This window comes from Homo sapiens, chromosome 9 (genome assembly GCF_000001405.40).
Source record: "Homo sapiens chromosome 9, GRCh38.p14 Primary Assembly".
In the NCBI taxonomy this organism is placed as follows: Eukaryota; Metazoa; Chordata; class Mammalia; order Primates; family Hominidae; genus Homo; species Homo sapiens.
Window position 1 is genome coordinate 81,393,919 of NC_000009.12, and position 9,385 is coordinate 81,403,303.

Here is a 9,385-nt window from a genome sequence, read left to right on the forward strand (position 1 = left end):
AAAAAAGAAGCAGATTTCTCATTTAAAAAGAAAAATCTAGATTCCCAGCTTTTTTTTTTTTTTTTTTTTTTCGAAAAACCAAACATTTGGAAACACCGGGCCCACACTCTGCATGACAACATTCTGTAGCTTGGCATTGGCTGGCCTCCTCCAACATGGGTTTGGGTGCTCCAGTTCTCCACCATCCCCACCAGGCAGGCTGCAGTCACTTGGGAAATCTCATTGAGTCCTGTTGGCACCCTCCTGTTTGACTTTGCTCTAAAGCATTACACAAGTGTTGGCTGTTACTACCTGTAAAATGAGGTCACTGGAATGGATGACTTACTTCTGCTCTGAGAGGCTATAATTCCAGTCCATAAGATGGGTTCTTTGGTCACTTTTCCCAAAAAGGTATAAAATGATCACCCAAAATCCCAGGGTGGTCCATGTCCCTTGAGTGTGGTATAAAGGCCATAAAATGCTCTGAAAATCAGGCATTTGTACTGCGAGTTGCAGAAAGACTTCAATAAACTACAAATGTAGTTTTCCACTGGGCAACATTTAGACACTGACTTTAAAAGCAAATAGAAAGTGGAGATGAGGAAAGAACAAAGTTACCACCGACATTAAGAGACAGAGGCAGGACTCCAAGAAAGGAGGGGATTGGAGGGAAAATAAACATTCGCCATAAGAGCACGAATCCCAAGTGGCTCATCCAGAGAAAGGAGCCAAGAGTTTATAGTACTTTTTGGGTTGTTTTATTTATTTTCCCCCCCACAAGATATAAATCAATCTATTTAGATAGGGATGGTTGAGAGAACACATTTTATTGCTGTGGATAATTTCCCCAGGGAGAGGATCATTTTTGTTTCACTCCTAACTTTATCTTTTGGTTTTGTGAAACCCCAGAAGTTTATGAAAAGTTGTCCAGATGAGGACACAGAAATTAGCAAACTATTCCCATCTTTAATTCACATAAAAGTGGAAACACATACCCCTGCTCACACACACACAGCACTAGAAACCAGGAAAACTAATTGAGTGCCAAGCACTCTTGTACCCTAAGGATATATATATATATTTTGGTAGCCTGAGGCTGCCAGAAACTTTGCCTGCTGAATGAATTATAGAACAGGAAGCAGATGGGCTGTGTATATGAAACAACCACTATCTGGCATGATGTGCTGTGCAATTTGGCTGCAAAGATTAAATTGAGCTATTGAATGTTTAATACACTATGCATAACAAATACAGCCAGAGCCACAAAACAGCATAAATTACAGAATTGGTATTCACACGGCCTTTCCCAGGAATCAATACACTGCCACCGCTCATAAGAGTCTGTTGTTTAATACACATAAAGAAGAGAAGAATTCTTCTATTAAAATGAGTTATCTGGGCTATTTACCAAAGGCAGTGATTTAGCAGTGGTAAAGTCTATGTAGTGCTGTTGAATGCAGATGATAATACTCCTTGTCCTTGTCTGCCTGTTTCATTGCGCCTATCAGTTGCTGGGGCTGTGAGTCCCTTGGGTACATTAGCAGTCAGCCCAGGAAGTGTGTTTAAGTAATGGACATAATGTTCACATTTGCTAGACCAGCCTTCTCCCTAATCATGAATTATTCTTCCCCAAGGCTCAATTGGAACATTACTTTAGAAGCAGAAGATTTAATCCTTTTCAGCTGATTGGAGGGAATGATTACAGTATTATTTTCTTGTACAGGCTGTCTCCAGTGAAGGTGCCTTTTTCTGTCCCCATCTTTAATAGGCAGCAATCTTTATTTCCCTGGAGGGAAATGGCAATGAATTCGAAATGGGATAAATCTTCAGGAATGCAAGGTGCTGAAGCTGTAGATCACTGCTGGTTAGTTAATTAGTTTAGCCCTCACTTGTTTCATCTCCAAGACAGAATACCTTGTAACAAGGGGCACCGTGGGTAGGTGGGTGGGTGGGAAGGTAGGAGGAGTGGGAGAGTGTAGGAATCGGCTGTAGGTGGACAACTAATCAGACACCTTCAAGTGACCAGGCCCCCGCAGATTCCCACTGGCTACAATCAGTAAAGGAAGCAGTATTTGCTTTACTCCAATTGTTCTGACTTTTGAGAACAATTCAAGTTACTGTAGCTTGTAGAAATGGTTAAGGAAGAGCAAGGCAGAACAGTGTAAAAGATGAGACTGAATGAGATTGGAGTTATCACCCTAAAAGGATATTTACATACAGGGCTAGCCCCAGACTAAGCTCTGGGATGGAAAAAAAAATGTCTACACATTCCTGGTGAATGCTCTTTAAGCACCGCTGCGCAGTGAAGTAATAAATAACAATTGACTCCATTGTTTTTTGGTCTTAGTGTTGTTATTGTTGTTTATTTTCATGTTTCCAGAAAGGGGGAAAAATGTGGCTTAGAAATTAATTACCTTGGGTTAGAAGATCTAAGCCTCAGACATATCTTCCTCCCCCCCAACCCCCGGCCCCCCTAGCCCTTCTGATAGAAAGGCCTAGCTGAGCAACCTTGGATTCTTCTGAAGTTTGGTTTCATGGGGAGCCCCTACCGCATCCCCTCCACCCATCACCTCTTTTCTGTTTTTTTTTTTTATATAAATAGCAGAGAAAGAAACAGATCAAACGTAAAGAGATGAACTGAATTATAACGAAGTCCTTGATGGCTAACACGTCTTGCATCTGATTTAAAGCCGGAAGCTCCCACGTCTAGCTGCCTGTGATCTATTTAGAATGAAACAAGGTCATGCTGCCTTGGCCCTGATTATAAATATATTACGTTTAAGTGATGAATGCCGCATTCAGAAGGAACAGGAGATCAAGAGTGCCTGAGGCTGGCGCTTTCCAATCTGTCCTCATTGCCAAGTCAGAGACTTAAAATAAACATGCTTTTAAATGAATGCTACGGAACCACGTACAGAGGTACAGGGATGATCTTGTTTCTAAAGCAGAACATAATGGGAGAGGAGCAGGGAAGAGAGGCTGTGTCAGAGCTCCCTGGAGGATGGGAATTAAAATCCTCCTTCTATTGGCTTCACCCAGGGCTTCCTTTGTTCCCCTCAGCCCATTATTCTAAGCCACCAAAAAAGGTTGAAAAGGTCTAATTTCTTCATATCAAAGGAAAAGGTGGCGTGATGTGCCTGTTTTCCATAGACATGTTCCATTCTTGAATGCTGGGATTTTCCATGAATGGTAACACCAGCTCCCTGCCACCTCCACGGCTTCCTTGAGCAAGAGGGCTGATTTAGGAGCTCCAGAAGCAATCACTTCAGGCAGCCCTCTTGTTTCAAAGAAGGCAAGCTATTCTAAGGACACATAGCTGGAAAACAACCCATCTGGAACTGAGGCTCAATGATGCCAGCACCTTGTCTATCTACATGGGACGACCTGCCTACGATGATGTCAACTTGTAGGAGGCACCCCTGGATTCTGCTCCAGTAAACCCCAAACTCCTCCACATTCAAAAGTCCCCAAGTCTTGGTAAAGAACCACCAGGAATCCGTCTCCTTCATCTGCCATGTCCTTCAATTAAATGAATCAATGAAATAAATATTTATCAAGTACCTGTTTTCCCTCTCTCAATAGCTGAGTCCCAACCAAAATTATCCTTCCAGTCTCATATACCTTTAGCTGTCTGACCCACTTGTATTTTTTTCTTTCACTTTAGCTCCACCAACTTCTGGCTCAGAAAATAAGTATTTTTTCCCAAACCAGTATGTACACATAATATCATTTGTTTCTCTTCTGCTACGAGGAAATTGGAACAATTATCATACCTTACATAATAATGGAAGGAACTAGTGCTGACAGCTTTTGGCTTTTCTTTCTCTCCCTCTCCTCCCTGAAGATAACAAAGTTCAGAGAAATGGCCAAAACTGCAGAAAGCAAGAGATGGGGGAAAACATAGGTGTTGGCATGTTGAAGAGAAATGAATGAGGAGCTAAGGAGCTGGTAGAACTGGGACCTAGTCCTAGTTGTAGCCAAGATGATTTGCCTGATCTTGGTTGCCTCACTCAAACCCCTCAGGGCCTTGGTATTTTGTTTTTTTGTTTTTGTTTTTTAATTTGAAAAATTAGAGGTTAGGCTTAGGTCCCTCCTGCTCTGAATCTCTATAGTGTTAGTTGCTCCCAAAACATTAATTGGATGTTACATCATTTGATTTCATTTCCGGACATGTACAATTCTCCAAGTAACGGGTAACATTCACGGCCCAATTACTTTCCCAAGCTCATTGAAATTTAATTTGCTGAGTGCAATGACACTGCCTGAGTTTGACTAGGAAGTCAGCAAAGCCACACCCGTGATTTACGCGAGGCTTCCTGCCTAGGAGATTTACCATCAGGGATGTCTAATGACTTTTTCTCGTGTAAACATATAGCTTTCACGTCCACTGGAGTTGGAGCTGATGAGCTTCCAGGAGCAGAATGTACTAGATAATACACTCCTTTTTACATAATGAGCTCAGGAACCTCTACTGTGAAATGAAGGGTCTTGCAGTTATTATAATGCCTCATAAATGAAAACACTATCTCTTTCAGGACTTCACAATGATATTTGTATGTTAAAAACACTGACCCTGGGAGGCTGCATTTATTTCTACAGCAGCTTTTAAAATACAGTGGCCTCCATATATACATTTCAATACTGATACTTGTGCATTCTTAACTCTCTACTATATGGTTTTGGCAAGAAGGGCATTTTGACATAAAATTTATATGATTTTATTTGACAAAAATAGGATTAGAATTTAGAAATCAACATTGTTAAACTGCTGGACCAAAAGCATTCTCTTCTGTCACTGTGTTTTTGTTGTTGTTTGAGACAGAGTCTCGCTCTGTTGCCCAGGCTGGAGTGCACTGGCTCAATCTCGGCTCACTACAACCTCCACCTCCCAGGTTCAAGCAATTCTCCTGCCTCAGCCTCCTGAGTAGCTGGGACTACAGGAGTGTGCCACCACACCCAGCTAATTTTTGTATTTTTAGTAGAGACAGGGTTTCACCATGTTGGCCAGGATAGAGCTCTTGACCTCATGATCCACCCACCTCGGCCTCCCAGAGTGCTGGGATTACAGGCGTGAGTCACGAAGCCCGGCCGTCACTGTGTTTTAAAAGCATACTTGGGATATCTGCACTATCCAATATGGTAGTCAGTTTCCATGTGTGATAAGTGAACACTTAAAATGAAGGTAGTCCAAACTGTGCTGTGCCATAAGCATAAACACACAGCAACTTTCTGGCTCCCATTATATTTCTATTGGACAACACTGCTGTAAATGTCTAATATGTTCATATCATGCTTTCCTACTTCTGGTGCAATGTTCATTTAGTCTGCGAATCATTATTGACAGTTTATGACCTGCATATTCTGTACTTGACAGAAAGAACTGAAAAAGAAACAGTTCTTGGGTAAGATTTATACTTGGCAACTGTGGCCAGTGTTCACCTAATTGCAAGCCTTAAAATATCTTATAGTGTGTCATGGACTGAATTGTATCTCCCAAAATCCATATGTTGAAGCTCTAACCCTCAGTGGGATTATATTAAGAAATAGAACCTTTAAAGAGGTAATTAAGGTTAAACGAGGACATGCGGGTATGGCCCTATGACACACCAAGGATGTTCATGCACAGAGGGAAGGCCATGTGAGGATGCAACAGGAAGGTGGCCATCTACAAGCCAAGGAGAGAGATCTCAGGAGAAACCAACACTGCTGACGCTAACCTTGATCTTGAACCTCCAGCCTCCAGAACTGTGAGAAAATTAATCTGCAGTGTTTAAGTCACCTACCCCATGGTACTTTATTAGGGTAGTCTTAGCAAACTAATACATAAGATATAAGATCAGAAGAAATATAACTGAAGGTAACTCAGCCCATTTTCCAGACTGGGAAAGAAACTCAGGTTCTTTTTTCACCAAAGGAATTATGGTTTAATGAGGAGGTGGTGGAGAAATTTTGAAAGATTTCTACCTGCCAGGAGCTGCTTTAAATGCCTTGTATATATTATTGACCCATTCGACCCTCAAGAGCCTACAGTTAGATGTCATTACCCTCATATTGTAGATTAGGAAAGAGATGCTTGGACAACCAACGTGAGGTGTAGGAAGATGAAACCACTGATCCATGAGATCCAGGCAGGAAGTACAAGATGGAAAGCCAAAGAGAGAAGTGAAGTTCATTCCTGTGGCCTTGCTTCTTCTTGGAGCTTGGTCCCTATGCTGGGTGTAAAGCATTTTTCATTATTTGTATCATTTGATTATATCCCCAATGCAATGGGGGTGAAAATTTGCTCCCTGGAAAGGAACCCACTCCAGGGGAAAAAAGAAATTTTCTGGCAAACCCAGTGTATCACCCTTAGGACCTCAAATTACACCATTTTGTTCAAATTTCGATGTCCTTTGATCCCTAGGATCTTGTTTGTGTTTCATGTGTTGTTTTAGATTTGAAGGTGGGTGAACTTTTTCGATGGTAATCACCCCAAATAATGTGTGAAAGTCTTATTAAGTGAGCATTTCAATTTTCATGTTATGTGTTTCTCAATTGTTTTTCACATCATGCTATTTTCAAAATAAATGACACATGATTCTGCTACTTCATTTTTACTAATTCATTATCAGTCAGTGTCAATTGACTGATGGTGGAACAAAAGAAAGTTGATCCTTTTCTCACACATAAATCCAAAGGTTAGATCCTGAATTTTTATAACTGAGGATTCTGAAACAGATACTATCTTAATTCAGGCTGCTATAACAGAATACCATAAACTGAGTGGCTTAAACAACAGACAATTATTTCTGACAGTCCTGGAGGCTGGTAAGTCCAAGGTCAAGATGGCTGCAGATCCAGTGTCTGGTGGGGGTCCTATCCCTGGTTTGCAGATGGCCACCTTCCTATTGTATTCTCACATAGCAAAGAGAGGGCTCTCTCCTAAAGCCCTAAGTCCTAACACCATCCCTTTGGGGGTCAGGATTTCTACATGTGAATTTGGGAGAGACACAAACATATAATCCATGCAGAACAAACTTGAAAGTAAATACACAACCTGTAGCACTCTGAAAGCAAAAGCAACACACATATGCCACACAAGCATTAGAGATTTGTATTGTCACATACACTTGAACTATGGAATTTAGGTCCATGTTATATAGGTTAAGTGAATTTGTTTTTTGTTGTTGTTGTTTAGATTTCCTAGGTGAGCTTTCTTTCATTCTCAATGTAAATCATGCTCTTTTTTTTTTGGATATGGAGTCTCGCTCTGTAGCCCAGGCTGGAGTGCAGTGGTGCGATCTCGGCTCACTGCAAGCTCCGCCTCCCGGGTTCACACCACTCTCCTGCCTCAGCCTCCTGAGTAGCTGGGACTACAGGCGCCCGCCACCACTCCCGGCTAATTTTTGTGTGTGTGTGTTTTTAGTAGAGACGGGGTTTCACCTTGCTAGCCAGGATGGTCTCCATCTCCTGACCTCGTGATCCGCCTGCCTCGGCCTCCCAAAGTGCCGGGATTACAGGCATGAGCCACCGCGCCCGGCCAAATCACACTCTTTTTAATGTACTCATAAATCTTGCTTCAAGAAATGCCAACAAAATTAGAGAAAGTGAGGTTTAAAATAATCTTGATACTGGAGAAATGTGAACACACACACAGAACAAGCAAACTGACGACACTAAAACAGAAATGAGCCACGGGAATTGTGTAGATTGGAGGAGTGTGTGTAGAGAATGGCCACGATGCAGGGCAGCTGAAATGGCTGGCTGCCACCAGGTCACAGAAGAAGGCATCACAGCCCAGAAACTGCTCTTCGGTGTTTAAGGCTCAGAAATTGGATTCTACGAATATCCTAAGCAGAGATTAGTTTCTCAAACACAAAAGCACATGATTCCAGTTCATAAGAGACTAATGTAACAGCCAAAATGTTGCTCAGTATATTCTTCCCTGTGGTGTAACTGACATGAGAAGCCAAATTCTGATCAGGAGCTTGCTTGAAGGGCCTGAAGTTGACATGAGAATCCAAGTCCTGATCAGGAGCTTGCTTGTAGGGCCTGAAGTTGACATGGGAATTCAAATTCCAATGAGGAGCTTGCTTGGAGGGACTAAATTTGCTGGGGGATAAATTCGGACAGTTCACATGTGTTCTGGCATCAAATGGTAGCTGATAACATCTCAGAGACTCTGGAGCTCCTCTCCTAGGTAGCATGGGATTCATGTAGACAAAGTTTTCTTCCAATTTGTACAGTTTTCTCAACAGCAGCTCAAGGAATATTAATGTAGCCAGACTATTTCACCTGATTCTATGTTATTAGAACTCAGAGGTGAGAACAGACTGGCAAAAGGTATCCCTTAACCAGTGGTGTTCATAGAGCCAGATACCACATAACACCATATCCTACTATCTTGAATAGAGGAAACTTTTCCTTTAGACTCAAATAAATTATTGCCTATTTACAATTTAGTTTACCATAAAAAGATTCTTTTTTTAAAATCACTTTATTTCTGCCTTTCCTACCTAAAGAACTTGTCGGCCACCAACCATTCCCCCCAGGAAAAATAAAATAACGCATACATCAAACAGTAATAGAGGATACTTTAAAAAAATCACCAATACTATTTAAAGAACTACAGATTCAGCCCACTGAGGTGGACAAACCTTACCTTATACTCTTTCCATTCAACATGACACACAGTAGGTGTATCAAAGACTAAAAGTGGAAAATGCAATGGAAGAAGGCAAAACACCAGTTACTAACCTACTTGGTGCATTGATTCCTCTCTCTGTTTCAGAAGATCAAGATATGTCAAGCATTAGAACAAGCTATTTATATTTGAGAGTAGTTACATAAGATATAGGATAATGAAGTACAGAGAATGAAGGAGATAGAATCAATCAAAGGTATCTGGGCTCAAATTCAGGGTCCCCACTTTTATAAAGCATTACACAGTCACATCTTTAAAATGGAGTTGATGGCATCTAAAGTGTAAGATGGCTTTTTTTTTTTTTTTTTTTTTGGGACGGAGTCTCGCTCTGTCACCCAGGCTGGAGTGCAGTGGCGTGACCTCGGCTCACTGCAAGCTCCGCCTCCCGGGTTCACGCCACTCTTCTGCCTCAGCCTCCCGAGTAGCTGGAACTACAGGCGCCTGCCACCATGCCCAGCTAATTTTTTGTATTTTTAGTAGAGATGGGGTTTCACAGTGTTAGCCAGGATGATCTCGATCTCCTGACCTCGTGATCCACCCACCTCGGCCTCCCAAAGTGCTGGGATTACAGGCGTGAGCCACCGCGCCCAGCAGTGTAAGGTGGTTTTTTACGATTAAGTGAAATGAGCTAGTATAATGTGCTTGGTCTGTGTAGATACCCAATAAGTAGTAGTTATCATCATTACTATCATTTTGGAGATATTTCATCTTTTGAGCATTTTC

The 9,385-nt window shown here is 41.7% G+C and overlaps 1 annotated feature.

The window, feature by feature from the left end:
* Positions 683 to 2,033: an enhancer, noted in NCBI's record as "VISTA enhancer hs722". NCBI's record gives its function as "enhancer in: hindbrain (rhombencephalon)[6/13] | trigeminal V (ganglion, cranial)[6/13]" and the evidence as "EXISTENCE:transgenic organism evidence [ECO:0001131][PMID:17130149]".